At 36.8% G+C, this 22,603-nt stretch overlaps 1 protein-coding gene across 19 annotated transcripts in view; it reads right to left on the bottom strand.

The window, feature by feature from the left end:
• The window catches only part of NPAS3 (neuronal PAS domain protein 3), an 869,389-nt gene that overhangs the window by 420,470 nt on the left and 426,316 nt on the right, over positions 1 to 22,603 (bottom strand). For 15 of the 19 annotated variants that reach the window (XM_017021582.2, XM_017021583.2, XM_005267991.4 and 12 more), the window contains one exon: positions 16,436 to 16,518. In XM_017021582.2, the coding sequence (XP_016877071.1) occupies positions 16,436 to 16,518 (83 nt within the window). The remainder of the gene's footprint in view (positions 1 to 16,435; positions 16,519 to 22,603) is intronic. The other 4 variants (XM_047431678.1, XM_005267992.4, NM_001394988.1 and 1 more) reach the window with 1 other exon arrangement.

Raw genomic sequence — 22,603 nt, 5'->3', positions numbered from 1 at the left:
GCAAAGCCTTTAAAAGGAATTGTCCTCTCTTTCAAAGGGGTTTGACTTGGGCACAGTTAATCATCACTGTGATAAAGCAATTAAAGGTATTCATAATTAGGACCAAACCAAATGTAAGTAATCAGAAAATTAAGGGGCAAATGACATTATAATGTGACTGTGTTTTCTTTAATGACCCCTTGGCTGAGAAGGACATTCTCGAATTGGTGCATGGGGACTTAGGTGCATAATGCATTAACCCTACTAGGAGCCCAGCATGTAAATGTCTTCTTCAAGTGATAAGAATGCACCCTGAAATCAGTTACTATCACTGACTTTTTAATAATGCTGCCCAAAACAAAAGGGACAATTAACCATCAATCAGTTGGAAGTTATATGCATTATCTGCACAAATTTAAGTCAATTCTACAAAGGCACTGAGCACCTACTAAGACCACCAAACTGTGGAAGACACGAAGATGAACAAGACATGACAGCCATCTTCAAGTTGCTTACAATCTAACAGGAAAACTAAGACATACATGAAACCATTTTGAAATTTTTTCACAAAAAAGCACACATGGGTGCATGCATGTATATCTAAAAGGTGATTTTTTTTTTTTTTTTTTTTTTTTTAAGACAGGGTCTTTTGCTCTGTCACACAGGCTGGAGTACAGTGGCACAAACACGGCTCACTACAGCCTCAACCTCCTCAGCTCCAGCAATTTTCCTGCCTCAGCCTCCAAAGTAGCTAGTACTACAGGCACACACTATCATACCTGGCTCATTTTATTTTTGTAGAGATGAGGTATTGCCAGGTTGCCCAGGCTGATTTGAAACTACTGGGCTGAAGCAATCTTCCCACCTGTCTCCCAAAGTTCTGAGATTACAGGTGTGATCCACCATGCCTAGCTGGAATTTTTAAAAATATAAGTGACAGGATAATGTGAAAATGATATTCTGTTTGCTAAATTTTACTTAATTGTAAATGCAATTATTGGAATTTTAGGTCCTGTCTCTACACCTGCACCTTTTATCCCAGGTAAGGATACAACATTTCATTAATACAGTTCTTGAGGGAAGGAACAATATCTACATATTCCCCAAAGCTGCATTTGATGAGCCTTATATATAACAAGCTATAAATGCTTGTTTACTGCCAATAAACAGGGTCTGTATTTTTCCCGCCCTAGCTAAACTGGTCTGCATTTCAGAGGAGGCTGGTTATATATACTTTCTAAAATGAATAATCTCATAAATGCCAAAATAATGTGTAGCAATCTCAGTGAAAAAAACTTGTCCCCCCAGCCCTACCTATCAATTACAATAATCCAGAAGGATCTCCAAAGATCATGGAAACCCAATCTAATAATTTAGGTATCGATTGAAATAATATAATCTCTTTTTGGATTAATGTTGTGAGTTAAAGGTCTCAAGGTTAACGGGAGGTGTCAGTAAGAAAATAAAACCTGGATTTTTTTTTTCAATGCAATGAATTGTAAGCAGTTATTTTTCAGCAGGAGAAAATGCAGCATGTAGAAGTGAGTACCCTCCCCGACCTCTGTTTTCATGTTAGGCATGACATTCTTTGGGGGGAAAATGACTTTGTGCTTTCTAAAGCTTCTTAAGTTTCTCTGAAAATCAGGCTAACTGCCCCCCTCCCAAACATAGCTGCATGAGATTCTATTAAATGCAGTTTTGTTGATGTGGCCCCAAATGATTTTCCCCTCTTTCAGTCTCTGCAGGCTGCCCCAAGTCTCCATGTCTGTTAATGACCTATTGCTTCTGTCTGATTCAATACAGCCCACCGGCTATGGAAATGGCAAGTCTCAGCAGGAGACAACAAAATGGTCAGCAAACAGGGCTGAGCCATGTCATTTTCCTCAAATACTTTCCCAGGAATGAAATGACAAGCTTTAAAATGTTGTCTTCTGCTCAGGGCAAATATTTCTTTATTAAACAAAAGCGCATGTCCTCTTGTTTCCATTGAAACCACAGCTTAAAGTATGTCACTTGAAAAACTTCCATTGTAAAATAATTTAATACCTAATATTTCCCTTATAATTCTTTTCTCTGTCACTCTCTCACTTCCACCTCAGGGTTCGAATCCCAGCTGTGCTAGCTAGTTACTAATAGCCATGGGACCTTAAGCAAATCCCTTTACTACTTTTTCCCCCACCAAAAACAACCTAACTATATGTAGTCTCCAGGTAAAGCCAGGTTAAATGATAGCAATTAGTTACCAATCAGTCATATAAATTCCCCAAACTGATTAGTAACCTTCCAATATTGAAAATAGTTTGATCCACAGCAATCCAATTCCTAGTTAAAAAATAATACAGCTTAGCTGTGAATCCAGTGAAACTAATCATTGAGCAGAGATAATAGGTACCAACTGAAAGTACCAGGCCTGGGTACTTTATATTTAGAAAGACGTAACAATATCTTCCGGAAGATTAAATGCTGTCTAAATGCTGGATTGGGCTTTTACATTCAGTCCACCTAAATGTGATCTCAAGAGAGGATACAGTTGATCTTACTATGCATTATTAAATAGTTACTGAGTTTTATCTCCTATGTGACTACAATTCTAAAAGTATAATTTAAAATGTCATTGAACTATCCTTATGGATTAAAGATGCAATTAAAATAGTCATTGATATTATCATTTGCCTTTGTATTTATGTAGAACTTGCAGACTTCCCACTTACAAAAAAAAAAAAAGAATTTTCTGTTTCTTTAGGTCAATTCTACCCTTGGTCTAATCTCTATACCAGATGAAATTTACTAAAACATTGTATCAACCTAAAATGAAGTAAAAGAGTAGATTACTTCAGAGGGCATTTTTGTGGTGGCCTAAAGGGTCACCTGCATTTTTTATATCTTTAGAATTGAGGGAAAGAGCTGCTCCGACCTGACAATTCCTGTAGCAGTTACCCAGCCTCATGGGAATTCAACGAGGCTCCTCTGTGAGGGCAGTCCAATCATTAGTTACACATTTTATTCATCCAGAACAACAAATTTTATAATAATTTCACTAATTCTCCCAAATGTTTATTTTTCCCAAATACACAATAAACATAAAGCAAAATGGCATGACATTTTCTTTTCTTAGACACGGTTCTACTGCACTGTCACAAAATAACACTGTCCCGTGGATTACTTACCTTGCAATCATAAATCATCAGATCCCAAACTGGCAAATGTCTGAGAAGTGATATTCACAAGGAATTAAAAAACAGCTATTAAAAAACAGCTGGAGACTAGGTGACTAGGGCATCTGACCCAGCTCCTGGGTCTGCCCACAGGTGCATGGCTACAGTTCAGAAATGACAGAAGATAGTAGCGAGTCCTATACCCTGCACCCCTCCTCCCCCAAGCAGGATCCCTACAGTGCCTTTCTTGTTGCTTGGTGCCCACAGGTCTTGGTTTTCTGTGTTCTTTAATGAATATAGTATTACCCAGGCCAGGCTCAGAAGAAGAAAACCATTCATAAACATGTATCAGCCATGAAGTACACTGGAAGTTACCTCTTAAAATCAGCTGTTCCTTCCACAACTGTTTTCAAGAGACAAGAGTCAGAATTTTATTTTGGTTGATCTACAAAAAGTCAGATACCTAATTTTTATTTTCTTCTCTTTGCTTATCTGTATTTTTTTTATTTTCAACATTTTCTTTTTCCCCCCCACTTTGTGCAGCTTAAAGAGGTATTTACACACACACACACACACACACACACACACACACGAGGGATAACTACTTAAGATTCTTCTGTAATAATCTTTGTCTTTAAAAAGCTAGTGAAGTAGAATACAGATGTGACATTATAATATAATTGTTGAATTATGTGTTCAATTTGGCTCTTATTGTATTTAGAGATCTTTTCTCAAAATAATTTTGATTTGATTCTTCTAAGCCACTTTCCTCACGTGTGTTCCACAGACTACTACTAGTCCAGGATGCTCATCTCATTGGTGTCTGCAATCAACTTAGTTTGAGAAACGATGCACATTATCACCCACCCACCCATTCACAATCTTTCCTCAAGCCTAAAATGAGTCTAAAAGGCTTGCAAAGTTCTAGAGACTGAGATGGGAGAGGAACACTGGCCATACTGACTGAGTTTTGGGTCCAAGATAAATGATAGTCAGCTGGTGTCACCCTATTCCACGTCATTCCTAGCTGATGCCGGTAACAAAAATGTGATGTCTGCTACCACCAAGGGCTACTCTAAAGCCAAGAAGAACACAGTAATCTGGCAAAGATTTGCAGATATTTACACACATTACCAGAGAGGTATAAAAACCTACACAATAAGAAAGTTTTTACTATTACTATTTGACATGTAACCTTATGATTGTCTGTCAACTTTGAAAATTGATACAGGTTGAATATCCCTTATCCATAAAGCTTGGTAAAATAGCAACTCAGGAAAAAAGCTTGGAACCAGAAGTGTTTTGAAGTTTTACCAAAAAACTTGGTAAAATAGCAACTTGAAGAAAAAAAAAAAGCTTGGGACCAGAAGTGAGAGGAGTATTTGCATATACATAATTATATATTTTGGAGATGAGACCCAAGTCTAAACATAAAATTCATTTATATTTCACATATACCTTATACTTACAACCTGAGGATAATCTTACACAGTTTTTAATAATTGTGTGCACAAAAAGTTTTGACTTTATTTTGACTGTGTCCCATTACATGAGGTCACGTGTGGAATTTTCCACTCGCGGTCATGTCAGTGCTCAAAAAGTTTCATCTTTGAAGCATTTCGGATTTTGGATTTTCAGATTAGAGGTGCTCAACATGTAGTATAACTGTCTTTCTGTTCCACATTAATCTCCAAATAATTTGGCCATTCTTAGCGCCTGAGAAAGAATCACAGATATGTTCCCATACCTTGCAAACAATCTTTATGTCAGCATGCCCCAAACAAATTCTGCCTGATCATAATGAAATCACTGGGTTTTTCTCCTCCCCCATTTCTGACTATGCTAAGAGAAGGCGTGAGTCATTGAGAAGTGAAGACCCTCAGGGGACTTCCACATAAACACCAAATTTATTTTTTATTTTATTTATTTTTTTTGAGGTGGAGTCTTGCTCTGTCTCCCGGACTGGAGTGCACTGGCACGCTCCTGGCTCACTGCAGTCTCTACCTCCGGGGTTCAAGCGATTCTCCTACCTCAGCCTCCCGAGTGGCTGGGATTACAAGCACGTGCCACCATACCCAGCTAATTTTTGTATTTTTAGCAGAGATAGGGTTTCGCCATGTTGGTCAGGCTGGTCTTGAACTCCTGACCTCAGGGAACACCAAACTTAAAAAGGGAATATGTGTGTGGGTGTGATGAGTGAAGGAGGTGAACTGTGTGTGTGTGATCACAGGAAGTGACTTGCTCCAGGCTGGGTGATCTGATTCCCTCCTGTTGCTTCTAGGGTTCAGCCTCTGTGACAGCCAACTTTTCTTGAGTGCTCACTGAGCTGTCTGTGTTGTATCTCAGCTAATACTGTGTACAGTGTCTCATCTAAACTAGGCACCTTTGTGTAGTATCTCATCTAATTCTAACACTGTTTGAGGTAAGACTTGCTACTATCTCCATTTGGGGTTGAGAAAACTGAGGCTCAGACAGTTCAAATAAATTGCCAAGTCCATATAACCAAGTGCAGATATTCAAATCCAGGAATAAGTGATCCAAAAGCCACTAGCCTATGTTACATTGAACTATGTTGGTCTGTTTTCTTATTGCTCTTCTCTACTCATAGTGGGAATGCTGAGAGGCAAAATCATCACTCATTATCCATATCTCAGTATTTTCTGCAGTCCCTGATGCAAATTAGGCATGGAGTAAATATTTACTGAACTGAAGCTTAGTACTTTCAGATTACTGTTTCACTTTTCTAGAACCTGGCCACTTGAGGTAATTCATTTTGCAACTAGAAAGTCCCCATTTACTATTGCACTAGTTTCAGTCAAGTGGCCAAATACCATGGCTTTCCTCCAAAATGTTACCTCAAACTGCTTCCTTCCCCTCACTCACACTTCTCTCACTCTTTCTCAGTGAATGATGACATATGTTTATTCTGCAAATCAAAGTTAGCAAGGTAAACAAAAATCCCCGTGGATACGTATCTGCCATATAGAGACATCATTATGAACATCCTTCTGAGAAGTTCTCCCTTCTGACCCTGACATGGAAGGGTGAACTTTTTGGCCTGGCAGATGATGGATTTCGTGCAATGTGCACAAGGAGAAGCATATGTGCATTAAACCGTTTCACCAGCATAATTTATAGCAATGGTCGATGGCTGGTTCTACCTTCTAGCTCTTCTGGATTTCTGATTGGGTGTTTATCCTCATTTTTTTTCTGAGCAAGTTGAGGAGGTCACGTAATAAGATAAGGAGAGTAATGGCATGTCACACTTTAGTCCAAAGGAGACTTTGATTCTGGAGTCCCTTTATAAACTCTCTCTTTTTCAGTTTCTTCTAAGTTGCCAATGAGAGTATTATGACAACTTCTTTGGTTTTTAAGAGAAGAATTTTCATTCTCAAGGTAAAAATACATTGTTATCACCAAATATAAAATTTTTTACTCTGAACTAAACCTGAACTGTCAAATGGATACATCAATGTAAGCAATTTATGTCATGTTCAATAAAGAATATTTATCTTGTTTTGAACCTGAGAGAATTTTATTGATAATGTTCTTATATTCCTGAAGTAATAAAGTTTCTGATAAGCATCAGGATTTTTCTTAAAAACTCGCACATTATTCTGGACTACCTAACACATGAACAGAAATACTAGCAGATGTTTCTCAAATGTGTTCTACATGTCAAGTTCTGTATCAAGCACTTTCAACTAAACTATTTTGTTCAGTCCTCACAATCTGCCAGCCAGGAAAACTTTCACTACTATTTTCTCCATTTTAAAGATGAAAAAACTAAGGCTTAGAGAGGGCAAGAGACCATTGTAGGTGCACACAGTTAATAAATGAACAACTGGGGATATAAACTCATGTTGGCTGGATGCCCAAATCCACGCACATAATGAATCTGTCATATACTCTCCCATGTCTGGAGATGTGGATACAAACTAAGCTTCTAACACGGAGCTGAGACAAGGCCCTGGCTCTGAGGTTAACTGTGACCTTGCCAGGTAAGATTTCTTTGTTCATTTTTTTATTTACCAGGTATTTCCTGACAACCTATTGAACGAAGGACTCAAATTTTACACTCTGAATATACTGGCATTAGTACTTGTTCTGGCTCACCTCTGGGAAAAAAAAGCATATACTGAATTTAGTAGAATTTGAGCTTTTCAGAGAAAAGTTTGATGAGCTATTTTTTCAGATTGTGACAAAGTAATAGCCCTAATGTGCCCATCAGTTTTTATATATAATGAGTTAAAGCAGCATTAATTGTTTAAATAAAAGATGTTAAACTTTTTTTTACAACTATATAATATTTCCTCAAAATCATGAATATGATTTTTATATGGCCTAATAAGTTAATTTTGAATAAGAAATTATACTTTTCCCCTTAGGATTAACATCCAAAGGCAGTACAATATAGGGAAATAACGGTTTACAATCAACCTCTGTTTGATCCTGTGTGTCTGTTTTGAGAATGGAGATTTTGGTAAAACATGCATTCTTGAGATAATTTGAAGACCAGTGAGATAATTCTTGGCAAACCACAATAAGATTCTCCAGTGAAACCAATTCCGTAAGTATGAAACATTAATCTCAACAGAAAATAAATGCCAGGGTCAGAGTGATGCTTACGTCATTAAAGCCCAGCAACTTAGGTGAAATGCACATTGCCAGTAGACCCAATTGACTACTCTGATGTTAGTTTGCTAAATTACATAATGGACATGTCACATCTCTTTTATAAACCCTATTCCCAAACTTACGATTCATTCATATACATATTTTAGTTTAAACCTAGGCAATCTACTAATAGAAATTGTGAGTTAATGTTCAACTTTAAAAACATTTTCCTAAATGCCAATGCTGATATCTTATTTGAGGTGAGGACATAGGAGAGGTGAACAACAGACTTAAAATTTCTACTTTTCTTTTTCATTCTTTCTTTTTAAATAAAAATACTGCAATCCCTACTTTTGATTGTTTTATAGCTCAATTGATAAGGTGTGTTCCTCTTTTTTGTTCAAGAAAATTTAAAAGCAACTAATTTAAATATGCAAAATTATCTTGAGTTGTTCATACGTGAACTTAAAAGCCGTGCAACACAGGAAAATTAAGTAATTATGCCTCCAAGTTATTTACTGCAATTAAGCTCATTTATCATATGCAAATTAGTGCAAACTGGTCTCATTAGTTACTAAATTACTCAATATGAGCTGAACAATGTAGCACTCCAGTTTGTAATGAAAAATCCCTGTAGAGGCAAGCAGTATCAATTAAGCTAATTTGCATATGCAAATATATTCACTAACTTTCTCTCTTTCTATATTTAGTTTTACATTTTCTTACCATTCTGGATCATAGAGACACTACAGGGTCACTCAACTTTCTCCCCTTCCTCTCTCACAGCTAAAGGAATTAATTCAAAATGCTCCTATTATTTGAAATCACCTTATTTTACGTTAGCACTGATGTCCAGCAGGATACCACTTTAGCAAAAAGAGCCATCAGGAATAAGAAGATGCAACTTCCTAGAGATGATCATTTTATGTATATCTACACATTTCAATAAAATAAAGGTGAAATTTTAACTCAACAATAAAGTAGAAAATAGACTTGAAGATATCACTGTTTCACAGAGGTCTTTTGAAAACACTACCATCAAATGTAAAAGGCATGTTGACTTGGCTAGGCAGCATCTTAATAAATGATAATTTGTATCTTTGTGTTAGCTTTTGAGCTGTTTTAGGTATTTTCACTTTACTTTGCCCAGATGTTGGAATTGTACTAGTCAATCTTTCATTTTCTTCTGGCATATGAGATTAAAGAAGGTGTCTATCAGCAGATTTGGCATTCTCTACTCCCCCCCCCGCCCCGACACACCCCAACATTGTTATAAAGAGCTCCTTTTGCCTATAAATCCAGCATATTTTCCCCAGCAGAATCTTCTACTCGGTCTTCTACAATTGGCTGGGTCTCAGAGACCAGAGATGCTGTAGCTAGCAATACTGAAACAGTAACAAATACATAAATAAGATACTATTTGTTTTGTTTTCTTTATTACATCAACCTGATTTTTTTTTAAAAAAAACTTCTGGTAGATAGAGAACCTATATGTTCTCATTTGTCTAAAAACAACTCTGCAGGACCAAAAGACTATATGGACCAACTAATCATGATTCTAGGATATGCCCTTTACCAATCTTCAAAGTGTGATTAACAGAAGAAACGTAGAAATTTAAAAGCAAATCTTGACCTGACTTTCTTCTAAATCTGATCCTTAACAGCCTCTGTAAAACACAGGTTCTTCTTTTATTTGAGGCATAATTCTACCCTGTATTCCATGGTTAAAGGTGTTGAGGAAATGAAAAACCACATGAACAAAATCTGACAGCTCACTGAGGTTGACAACATTATCCATCTTAGCCACACAAATCTTTGATTACTTTGACTAACAAACAGAAAATCACTACATTTGGGCTCCCTTCTTCTCTATCATTTTTAGAAAATACATACCTTAACAAAACTGTTCTGCTAAGGTTATTAGCACAGGACACATTTGTGTCCTGAACAAGAGGGTTATTTTACTAATAAATGATCCTTGCAAAAACAATCATTCCCCCACTTATGTTGAGGAAGACCAGGCAATCATACAACCATCGTACCTAGCCTTTTCTGATCCACTCCCAGTCAGAGAACCTCAGGGGTCATAATCTTAGAATGTTCTTGGAGGCTCTTACTCAGTCCCCTCAGAGAGTATGCTCATGGAATTCTCTTTCAGGTTTGGGTTTGAATGTTCTAAAAGCAATATAAAAATTCATTTGTGGCCAGAAATAATGTGGGGTCAATGACATAGATACAAGAGGGTTTACCTAATATGGCCAAGCAAAAATTGACACATGGATACAATATTTCCACCATTACTTTAATTTACAGCATTTCTTACAGAACATTCTTTTTATTCTCTCAATACTTAGTTTAAATAATAAATGAATTTCTCTATTAGTTATGTACAAACATGTTGGTACTTATTATACTTATCCAACTCACAAAACTTACTTTTATGATCCAAAATGAGTGATGAATAAAGACTATCTTTCAATTATAAGTACATGATAGTTCTTAGTAATGGCATGTATTTTACAAAGTTAGTAACACACACACACACACACACACACACACACACACATATAGTTCAATATAATATGCTGACAATGAATACAAACATAAACCTTAACAATTTCCATGTACTAGGTTTAACTTGTTTAACACCTGTGAGGTGAGTAAAGCAGCATTATTACTATGGAGTTTGCAAAAACAATATTGCAACTTTATATAACAATTATGTAAGCATTATTTAGAAAATGAAAGAAACTTAAACCTTTCTGCTGAGGGTAAACAAATAATTAAAGCATTAAAACATTCCATTCAGAAATCTGGCACCTAAGGGAAAGTCATTCCAGTAGTTAATTTTATGACTTATGAAGACAGTATTTGCTACCATTTTGTGTTTTGTTAACTTCAATAAGGTAAAATACAAATATCCTATCTGGTCCTTATATTGGAAAAGTAACAATAAATAACATGCGTACTTTTTCATATTAAAGAAGTCATGAAGTGGGAACAATATAATGCCCTAAGAGAACGTTGAAAGCAGCAACCACATTTGTGCTTAATCACATCTACTTTCCAGGAAGGATCCCACATAATGATCTCCTCAAGTTCTCGGATTTTTACTGAGCCTGCCACAAAATGCACAAATCCCAACCTTTACCCCTTGACTTCCCATTCTTCATCTAATTTATAAAAATCAGAGAAGAATTTAGTGAACTATAATGCCTTGATTCAGGCCCACTAGGGCTGGGATTCACAGCCCTGCCATTGCAAGACTGACATCCCTTGAACCCTCAACTCTCCTGGAGAAGATGCTGCTGTCCTGCGATTCATGCCTGAAATAGTTATAGGTTTACTGAGACTATAATATTGGTCACAGTCAGTGGTGAGACTGCTTTGTGAATGGCGGCCCCAGAGTTCGCAATACACAGCCTGGGCCTTGGCCCTGCCTACAAACACGGGTATTGAAAATTGGCTTTGTAATACATGATTTTACATTGATAAAATCACCATTAAGTTTATTATTTTCTCCCTCTCAGTGGAAAAGTAATCAAATTTTAAGGGATCCCACCAAACTTTCTTTTCCCTACGAGAATATACGGCTAATTAGATATGCACAGCAGAGACACATTACATATACATTCAGAGAACGGGCACACCAAAAATTAAGGAGTCTATCTTACCCCTTACTCTCAAATCCTCCACACAAAGGGACACGTAGTATGCACTTCAGTGAAACGTCACTGGGGCACAGGTAGCAGGGAAGCTTTGGTACCTGATGCAGTGAAGTCACAGGCATTTTCTGAACTCCACACTGGTATTTGGAACTGACCTCTACTTTAGTTTCCAAATTCAATTAGTTACTGAAGCCTGTTTACTCCAACTGTAAGTGTTTTAATTCTTTCCTCTTATTACCATTGTCTTTTAAAATTGCCCTTATCATTTTTTTGCAGTGCTATGACCCTAGTGTTACCATCCTGGGTTCAAATTCAACTTTGTTACCTAAACAGACATGTGAACTTGAGTTACTTAAGTTTTTAAAATCTTAGTTGACTCAATTTTAAGATGCACGTAATCATAGCACCTATCTCATAGGTCTATATTGTGGGTACTCGATGATGATATAAGAAGAGAACTTAGCACAGTATCTGAAACTTAGTACACAGTAAAAATTCATCATATTTAAGCTGAAATCCATCCAGACTAGGCTTTTCTTTTTAGAAAATATGCTTTTCAATATTTTATCTTCTCTTTGCGTTTACACACACACATAGACACGTTGATATATGCATTAGATATGAACATTTTTAGATGTAATCAAAATACTCAATAGCAGGAAAATGGTTACATAAATTATGATACATCCATAGTATAGAATGGCATTTAGCCATTAATAATAATGAAAACCAATCCTTTCTCAGCACAGACATGACCATGAGATACTGATTTTTAAAGGAGATTGCTGAAGAGCATATAATTGGCCAAGAGTTAGGTTTTCATCTCTTTTCCAATATGCACAAAATGCTTGATCCCATAAATCTCAGACATATAAACATACTCTCACTACATGAAAAACACAAATTTCTCTTGATGATAACTTCTCATTTCCCACCCTTTCTTTACCATGAACACTCAGATTCTTCTCCTTTACCTCCTATCACTCTTTAGGTCTGTATTCTACACTTACTCCGCACAGCGACTGTTTCAATCCACAAAACCTATGACATCTCTTCAGGATTTGCCCTACTAAAGGATTTATCCTTAGCTACCTTGACATTATTACTATTCCTTCCTCCACCAAAATCAAATCCTGTGGCTTGCTTTTTCTTTCTGTCCATTCCTTTCTCATGTTTACTGGCCTCTTAAATGATGACATACCCCACAGTGGGCTCTCCTTAACCCTCTCTTTGCTCCACATCATTTCCATAGGGCTGTAACCCATTCTTAATTTGAACTATCATTCATCTATACACCAGTGATCAGTAATTCCAGACCTAGCCTGAGAATTGCTCTGCAGAAACAGGACTTAGGTTTCCAAGTGCCTACCTCATATCAACTTGGCTATTTAATAGACCATCCCTCTCGACTTCTCTCAGGTAGTAGAATCAGACAGCTAGCAGCCAAACTAGAAAACTTGTGGTGATGATTAAATCCTGTCATTCTCTAGCCTTTCACCTCTAATTATGGGCCACATGCTAATGATTCTATCTCAATTCCATAGCTGCCTCTTCATTCACACACCTCTATCTTGCAAAAGATCTTCATTTTCTTGAACTCTGGTAACAATTTCCTAAATGGTCTCTTTATATCAGTATCTTACAACTCACAGACTTCCTGGACGTTGTATTTTGATGATAACTCCAGAAATAAACCAAACTGTTCTCTTGTCACTGCTGCATAAAAGCCCTCTCCATGGACTCTTCATGGAGAATCAAGTCCACACCTCCTGGTAATATGGCTCCTATAATCTCTCTTCCTTCATCTCTTATATGTCCCACTGCATATGTGAAGCAGCCATCATATCAAACATCTAAACAGTCCCCAAGTAAGATTTACCACTACTTGTTTACATGCTTTTGTGTCTGATGTACCCTTTGGTTGGAATATTCTTCCCTTTTCTTTGCCTAATAAACTTCTATTCATCCATCAACAACTTTGAAAAGTCTTCTTTGGTGCTTTATGGCAAATTCAGAGCCTTGTTCTTTTGTGGCCCCATAGTACTTGACCTGTGTGATATTTCTCACTTCATGCAACCTCCTAGTTCCTCTTTCCCTGAATGACTGTAAGCTATTTAAAGATAGCAGTCATATACAGTGGCTTCTGTGTTCTTATAAAGTATTTGAAACTTGTGGGGGATGAAGGGGAGTGTTAAATGACTATAAACTGTCAGGTTGGAGATCATGCCTATACTACTTTGCTGACCACACAGGTTTTTATCAACTATTTGCAAATGAAGAAAGAGTAGGAAGGAGGAAAGGGAAGACAGAATTCATTCCAGTCTTTATGGACCAACCAGATTCTCCCATGGACCCTTCTGAAACAAAACGTAGAAGCCATCTCATCCTTACTGAACATTGCGATATTGTTGAACATGGTACAGACATAGGCTTATGGGCTCAAAAGTTTCCCTGCTAGTTAGGCAAAACAACTAATAAGATAGCTTAAGGGAGGCTCTTCTTGTTACTACTACTTCCCAATTCCTTCTTGCCTGTAATTCTAGTAGTTAATTTAGAATACTATGTAGTAGTTCTTCCACTCCATAACCATTAGTGCTAAAATCAAATTATACCAAAAGTTCTAGTTTCTGTGGCAATTATAAGATTACATAGTGCAATCATGCTTAGATGCCTTTCTTGAAAGCATCTTTACCAAGCCATCTATATTTCTCCTGAAAGTCTACAGCTTCAAACTTATTCCAAGTGTGACCAGCCCTATTTAGGAGTTTTCTTGTATGGACATAATGTAAACATTCTAAATTTTCATCCATTTATCTTTTTTCTCATATTCTGAAGCGACACAGAATATGTTTAATCCTTTTTTTTTTTTTTTTTTTTTTTGGAAATGAGGCCTTCAAATAAATAGAGAGGGCATTGATGCCCCTTTTAAGTCATGTTTTCCAAACTAAACTTTCTCAGGCCTTTTGCCACTCTTCACGTAATATGATTTCTAGTTTACTCACCAGTCTGGTTATTCTACTCCAAATGGCATCCAGCTGTCTAGGTCGGTGTGACAGCTGATGCAACCATAGTGTGGTGTCTGAATGTGACCCATCCAAAATGGGAACGAGCTTGCAGCCCCATTCTAGATCCTGTGTTCTCTCAATGAAGTATAATGTTGATTTAGCATTTGGGAGAGCCATTTTACATTATATATTTATACTGAATTTATGTTTGATTCAAACTCCTAAGTTTGTGTTAGTTTTAAATTACTGCAATTACTGAGACACCTTACTCATAGGCCTTTGGAGTCATGATTTCCAGAAAGAATTAAGAAGATAATAATCTAGGACTAGTCTCTGAATAATTTTTCATTGACTAAGTCTTAGGTAACAATTTCTGAGTGCTTCAGAATAGAAACAGAAATAGTCCTCAGTCACATCAGAGTCTAACAATTTATATGTCACGGTCCATACAAAACCTATAATGAAGATTCCAAACAACATGTGTGTAAGAGAAAAGGAAGTAACAATTTGAAGATCTAGAAAGAAATATGATCCTTTCTGTGTCCTCGAAACTAATCCTAGGTTGTAACAAAGGTAATTCAAAATTTTATGTATACAATAGAATAGCAACTCCCAAGGTGTATTTCAAGAAACATCAGTTCTATGAGATATTAACAGATATTAATGGATAAACAAGAAATAAGAATAAACAAAAATGTAAAGTAAGACTTCTCAGGGCTTTAAACTTGCAAATGTGAAAGGTGCTATCTCAGACCTGATGGAACATCCAAATTATCTCAGGAGACTGTTAAAAACCACAAATTCCTGGACTTTACCCTATAAACTCTGATTTAGTAGGTCTAGGTTGAGGCCCAAGAATGCATCCTATGAGCAAGTGTTGGGTGATTCTGAAACTGCCAGTAAAGACACTGCTTTGGAGAACCACCAGGATTTGACTATGAGCTATTTTTTCTTCTTTTTTTTTTTTTTAACGCAGAATCACATAATAGTTTCCTAATGCACATACTTAAAAGATAATATGCTAAATGTAGTATTACTTTTGACAACCTAGAAAAGGAAAGCACCATAAAGGCCCTGTTTATAAACTCTGAATGAACAGGGATCTGGAGTATACTTTTATTTTACTCCAAAGTTTATCTCAGAAAAACATAGCTACCTTTTCCAAATACAGTAAGCGGCCTACATATCCCAAACTTGTCTGCTTCTCCAATTCTATGTAAAAAGGTGTATCTTCCACAGATTAAAAAAAGTGGCCATGGCAACATTTATCCTGGGAGCAGGACCAGTGTGGCACAATTATCTATGGTTGAAGGCAGAAGTGTTGAATCGATGGCAAAGTCTTAGTAAAAAAAAGTTTTGAATAAGTGAGATGACGAGTTTGCAATGAATTTTCTCTCGGGCTAGGTAACTACAGTTTCATCCTAGTGACCTTTAACATTTATTTTTCATGAAGTTCACTGGCAAAATCAATTATTATTTGTCTCCTTTTACTAGTATTTTTAAATATACTATATTTTCCCGTGAGAAATTTTCTAATTTGGGGAGGCAAACATTAAGATTGGAAGCACTCACAAATACGAACTCAAGCAAAGAACTGAAATTTGGCGACACAAAAAAAAAAAAATCACAGTACTTTCACAACAAAACTTTGCTCTTCCAAAAACAATATATAGCTCCAAAGACACACACAGATCCACTTACAAATACAGCACGCACACAACCATTCTGGGAACAGCCAGTTACTACACATGGCGCATGAACTAAATAGTGCAATTCATCTAAATTATTTCAGCACAAATAATACTTGCCCTCCCTTTCTCATTAACATTCTCTCAAAGGATGGCTTTCTAAAAAGAAAAAAATAAACTCATAAGAATTTCGGAATTTCAAGATAAAATCACAACAGTCAAATATACAGCTGACATTTAAAAAAAATTCTTTAAAAAAAAGACTAAACATATGGTTTTTTCTTAGTAAAATATAAGAAAGCTTCTTTTTGTTTTAAAGGTACCTGCAAAATGTGGCTTCCCAAATGTGCTTCAAATACTTCAATGGCTAGTGCACTGGGGCTTCTCCTTCGCTGTGCACCTATAACTTAAAAGAAAAAGAAAGAAAGAAAACAGAACAATTAAGTTGGAGCTCTGATTCATATCTTCAGCTTAGTTTCTCTTGAATGGCATCATTGACTATTTAGTATTACAATGAGATCTGAACCACCACCCAGTATTAATTTTAGTTCTGAGTTGTCTAAGCATAAACATAGCCTAGGTTGAATTTTCAACCTAAAATATCGACTTCTAGAAACATCAAAAAAATACATTCAGACTTTAAAAATTTTCCTTTTGGATGGCTTTCCCTACACTGGAATAAAAACATATGAATGTTCAGGTTCCTTTAAAATAAATTAGTACACCATTTTTCTTAAAATTAAGGTATTGATTTTTTTAAGCATCTGCATACTGCCTTATCTCCCCTCAACCCCGCCCCAGAGAAAACTAAACTTCTTACATCTTCTAGGCTAGGAAAAAAGCAAACAGGAAACTTTTTGTATTTTCTAATGCAATAACTTCATCACAATTTAATCAGCACAACATATTGGATAAGACATTCTTTTTCATGATCATTTGCACTAGTGTTAAGCATCCTAAGATGGCTGGATTTCACATTTACTGCATATTCATGTGAAACTATTCCTATAGGACTGACAAGAAGCCCAGGTAGATCCTTGGCCAGCATGTGCCTCACCAGGTCAGTGACTGTTTCTTATCTGGAGTTCCCGAACACTCCTGTTTTCTCACTAAGAGTCGGTCCTCTTCCAGGCACGCTTCACCTGCTTTGCCTGCAGGTGCCTACCACACAAGGAGTCCTCATAATCCTTAACAAAAGTGGGTTTAATGCAATAATAACTGTGGAATCCAGAATTGAGTGTCATCTGTTTATGATTTTTTTTTTTTACGTGGGGTTCCAATTTATGTTAAACCTGTTCTTCTGCCTATTTTTTCTTTTTTTAAAAAAATTTAATGGAGTATAATTGAGCAATGAACTATTCACAGATCAAGAAGCCCCCAGAATCACAGCAGATTCAGAGAGACTCCAGGGATGCGTCGTGGTCAGAACAAATTTATAGACAAAAGAGGGAAGTGACGTACAGAAATCAAAAGTGAGGACATCATAAAAAATCCATTTGCTTTACACTGATTTATTAAAGAAAATATTCAGATGCTTTCTATATTTCTAACAAGTAAATTCCCCATATCTTCCTGCTTTTTTTGAAAATTTTATTACAAACCTCTGCTCTCTCAAGCCCAGCTACTACTAATTGAAAATAAAATCAAAATCCCCTACTTTCTTACTTCTAGAAACACTTTCAGCTAGTTGACAAGAAAATTCCAGTGAAATGCTGCTGGGGTAATTCTGTTGCATTTCAGTTACTAAGTTGGTGAGTGGGCTCCACAGCTTAGTAGGGATTATAATATAAATGCACTTGTGATTATTGCGCTATGCAAAGTAGGGAGTTTACCCCTGCAAATGTGAGTTTGTATCTGCAATGTCTGCAAGGCACTGTGAAAATGCGTGTGTGTTAAGTATCATTATTACTGACAAGAGAAAAATAACAGAGGCATTTTTTTCAATGGGAAAATTTATAAAATATAATTGAAGAGTGATCATTATCAAAAGAATATTCCAGCTGGAAGGGATCTTAGAGATCTCTACTCCAGCCTCCTCATTTGCTTCAGAAGCAAAACACACAACTAAAAATCTTAAAACAGAAAAATCAGTTTACTATGCTGAGATTAATCTTTATTATAAATATAGACATAGGGTTTTTACAATTTTAATATTCAGATATACTTAAGACAGTACTACTGTGTGTATGTGGGTGTGCACATTTCTGATTAATTTCCTATTCTAACATGCACATTACTCCCTTCAAAACTCCTTTGGCATTTTTGATAATGCAGCTGTCTTGCTGAATACTGTTTTCAGTTTCTAGAGTGTTAATTGCACATTATGGTAGCTTGGTGTGAATGATCCCACATGAATAAAATCTGCAGCCTTTTTTTTTTTTTTTTTTTTTGAGATTATGGGGGTGGGTGGCTTTTGGGAGGGAGAAGCGGGGGAGTTGAAAAACTTCTCAAGTGTCCACTCTGTTTTTGAGACAGTAATTAGGATTCAGAAAGCTCCTTATTAATAGCTCATAATTTGGGGGGGCACTTCAGGGACTCCAATTACAAAGTTCAAAATAAATCACTGCACGTCCCCTCCCCCCTCCCCCAAAAAAAGAAAAAAGGACTAATTTTAGATAACAGAAATCATTCTACAAAGAACTGGATTATGAGGGGGCAAGGGAGTAATAGCCACCAGGTTATAAGGAACCCTAAAACATCACAGAAAAGTTCACTGACTTAGGAGGCCCAAGATGCAAGCTCCAGTAACAACATAAAGCTGCTCAAATGCCTTCTGAAAGCATAGACGCTGTTGTCTTCAGTGGGGGTGTGGGGGGTGGGGCGGTTATTCAAGTCTGGCTACTGATGGCCTTTCTTTTCCCGCTGTTTCTCCACTAGGGTTCAGGCTGTGCTCTGAGGAAATGTCTTCATCCATGAGTTCTATCTGTATAGTTATTCTTTGTTCTCCAAACCCCCTAGAAATCTGAGTGTGTACCCCCATACACCCTAGCATAATATACAAGTATCTTGCAAGTAGTTTCATGCTATTCTATTCGATGGCATTTTTATGTCACTGGAACTTCTCTTGATTTATATGTTTTGCACTTATGCAGGTGATGTGGGCTGCAAAGACAGTTCCTAATTTTACAACCAACATAAATATGTTAAACAGGAGCCCATTATGTCCCTGGTAGGAGCCCAGCTTTAACTTGAGCATTAATGCTAACTGAATAGATGTTAAAAATGTACTTCTTATCTTGCACTTATCCTATCACATTTGGCATTTTGAGAACTGAGACAATAATCTGATAACTAAAGAATACTGCAAACACAGGTATTTTGTTTCTCCGTGTTAATCTTATTATGTTTATAGAGTATCATTAATGATCTAAAACAACTAAAGGGGCATTTCCTCAATGGGATCTGTCATCTTCAGCAAAGCAATACATTGTTTATGAAGCTCTCTCAGATTTCTGTATTTTGGAAATTGACAGTTTCTAAAACCATCTGGTAGCCCAGACACACTGTATACTTACTATTGCCGAACGGGTCACAGTTTCATCTGATCTACTGACATATTTCATTTATTTGTTTGTTCAACTAAAAGACTATTTTCTGAAATTTAAAGAACACTAACAAAATTAACCTATACACACACACACAACACACACACACACACACACACACACAGAGGGCATTGCTAAATAAATGGAATGTGCAACCACTTGTCTGTGAAGATTCTGTTACCAGCTCACTGAGAGTGAGACGTAAGAGCTATAGGAGTTGAACAGTTTATACAAACTAGTATAAAAAAGAAAGCCCAAGCCACAGGAATTCAACTTAAAATTCAATTCAACATGACTAAATGCCTATTTGATGTTGAAAATTTCTAGCTACTATAAGGGAATTAGTGTTGCAAAACTTAATAAATAGTCCAAAAAATGTTTTATGACATTTAAAACAAAAGTAGGTCCAGTATATAATTATCAACACACACCACAACTCTACTATTTCATGTTTTACAAGGGTTAAAAATAAAACACCTAGAGTTTTAAGAGACTTTAAATGGAAGAGAAATACAGGGAGAAGGGTTTATTGGTTTTTTAAAAAATCATCTAGGAAAATTCTGATTGTCTCAGAAATCCAAAATGATCCGATGAATCACTAAGACTGTGCATTTGGCCTTTCTCTCATTAAAAAGGGGAAGATACACAGGGGAACCACAGTCTAAAACATGTATCTGAAGAATTAGTTTTGCCCCTCCACAATGTCAGCAGGAAAGTTCTAATCTGGATCCTTCAGCATAACCTCACACGGTGGTCTCTGAGAATTAATTCAGTGCAGTAAAAGGCAACCCTTCTTTGGGGAATACACCAGGCCCTCCCAGTCATATTCCTAACCAGTGCTCCTCACCTCAGGGGAGGCACTCACGTGAGGAGGGCTGAGGATTAACGCTCAGTGGGAGTTTGACCTATTCAGCCGAAAGGTCAGCTTGCCATGGAAGAACCCATTACAAAACAGAAGCAGGACAGCTCGGTGGACACACATAATGAAAGGGGAAAAGTCACGAGCCCTACTTGCCTTGTGCCCTGCTCTTTCCCTTCATAACCCCAGCTCCTTGCCAGCATGGTTCACAGTGGGAAGGTGGACCACAGGCAGAGAGCCACAGAGGGGCTTGCTATTGGAGGGATCACTTGAAGAAGGTATTCTGAAGTGAAGAGGACTGTGACACTGTGAGGCAGGGTTTCTAATGGATTGTTTTATTAGGCCAAGGCAGTCACTGGTGGATAGGAAACATCATTTCAGAGGTACTTCCTTATCCTCCCCCATAAGGTGGAGGGCAGTACGGCATCACGGGCAAATGTAGTCTTAAAGTTCGGCAGGTAGTATCTCAGGAACGCCTGGCAAAAAGGCAGGCTTCATGCCCGGTAACCCCTGATAGCTCCCCTCTGAATCCTCCATCTAAGGGGGCAAGGATCTGTTCCCACACTGAGCCTGGGGGAAGGGAGCACTAAAGGGCATGCTTAATGGAATCCCTGGACATTGACTTCCTGGGCTTTGGCTAAGCAAAGCCAGCGGCTGAGAAAGAATGGAATATGGAATGCTTAATGAGTCTTTCCATGGCATAGAAGAAAAGGAAAGGGATTCCCTTGAAGAATCTCAATTAGCTTTCCTCACTGTAGGGCCAAAGAAGTCAGGGAGGGTTTTCTCAGGAGCCCCAGAAGTTCATGAGGTATGTATGAGTGTGTGTATCTGTTTCCCTATCAAAATTAAAATTTCTCAGTTTGCATGTAATATAGGCTGTGTCTTTATTCTGAAACTGGCCCTCATCACTCTGCCTTCTGTGGGGTCCGTTTTCACAAATTGTATTCTTTCAATACAAAACGCCTCAGTATCTGTGCATGGCTTAGACACTGGGAGATTTTCAGGTTTGGAGAAGAAACTGAAATAGCACTGGGTACCAGCTTAACCCATATAGCAACATGACAACTGAAATTCTGTTGTTGAAAGCACTGTATGTGAAGTTTTCGTGCAATATGTATATATACATACATGACGCACTGTTATTGTTTTCATATATATGAAAACACATACATGAAATATATATATGAAAACAAATAATCACAGTGCTTTTTCAGTGTACTTTCATCAAGGTTAGTTTCTAGTATTAAAATATAGGATAAATGATGACTGTAGAAGAGAAATAGGGACACGCATTGTTAATTGGGCACGTGATTAATCACATATCTGATAACAAATAAATACCAGAAAAAAAATCTCATGTATTCAGGAGTAGTACACTTTGGGTTTATTTTTAAATTCCTATTTAGGGGATTTTTAAAAACAAAAAAACTATCTTCATAATTCATATCTCAGACCTACTAACATGTTATATCACCAATTTAGACAAAAAAGAATATTTAATCCAATAATGCAATTGAAATTTTAAGAAGTCTTAACGATGATCCAAAATTTTTTGATGCAATACATATTTAAATATCTTCCACCATTTAAGTATGGGTTGACTGCATTGGGTAAAATAATTAGGGATGAGGCGACTGTGCAAATTTTAATACTTATAAATGAACTGCTTTTGGGAAAAAGAAACCATGTCTGCTTTTCTTAAAGAAGTGTATTTATATTGCTTCAACTATTAAAGAACTAAGGGGAAAACATACAATGTCTAATTGATCTGTTTAGTCAAGGGGGTGTTCACTATGCACTTCTCGGCTTCTTGAGAATTAAATAGTATTCATATGATTTTTGAAAATGTTTATCATTTTCTACACCAAAATGGCATAGTCCTCTAAATGTGAAACGGCAACCAAATATCACTGTAGTAAGTCTCGAAAATGTTTTTGTATATTTGGTCAGCAACAAATTACAGGGACCTCTTAGTACGAAGTTTCCATTTTAAAGATTCACTTCGCCTACCCACCTTTCTTTTCCATTGAGGGAAATGAGAATCCCTAGGCAGATATTTCTCCTTCTGTAGCTGGGAAAGGAGGAAA

The sequence above is a fragment of the Homo sapiens genome, chromosome 14, assembly GCF_000001405.40.
Source record: "Homo sapiens chromosome 14, GRCh38.p14 Primary Assembly".
Taxonomy (NCBI): Eukaryota; Metazoa; Chordata; class Mammalia; order Primates; family Hominidae; genus Homo; species Homo sapiens.
The sequence above is the reverse complement of the archived record's forward strand: the minus strand, read 5'-3'. Positions and strand labels throughout refer to the sequence as shown.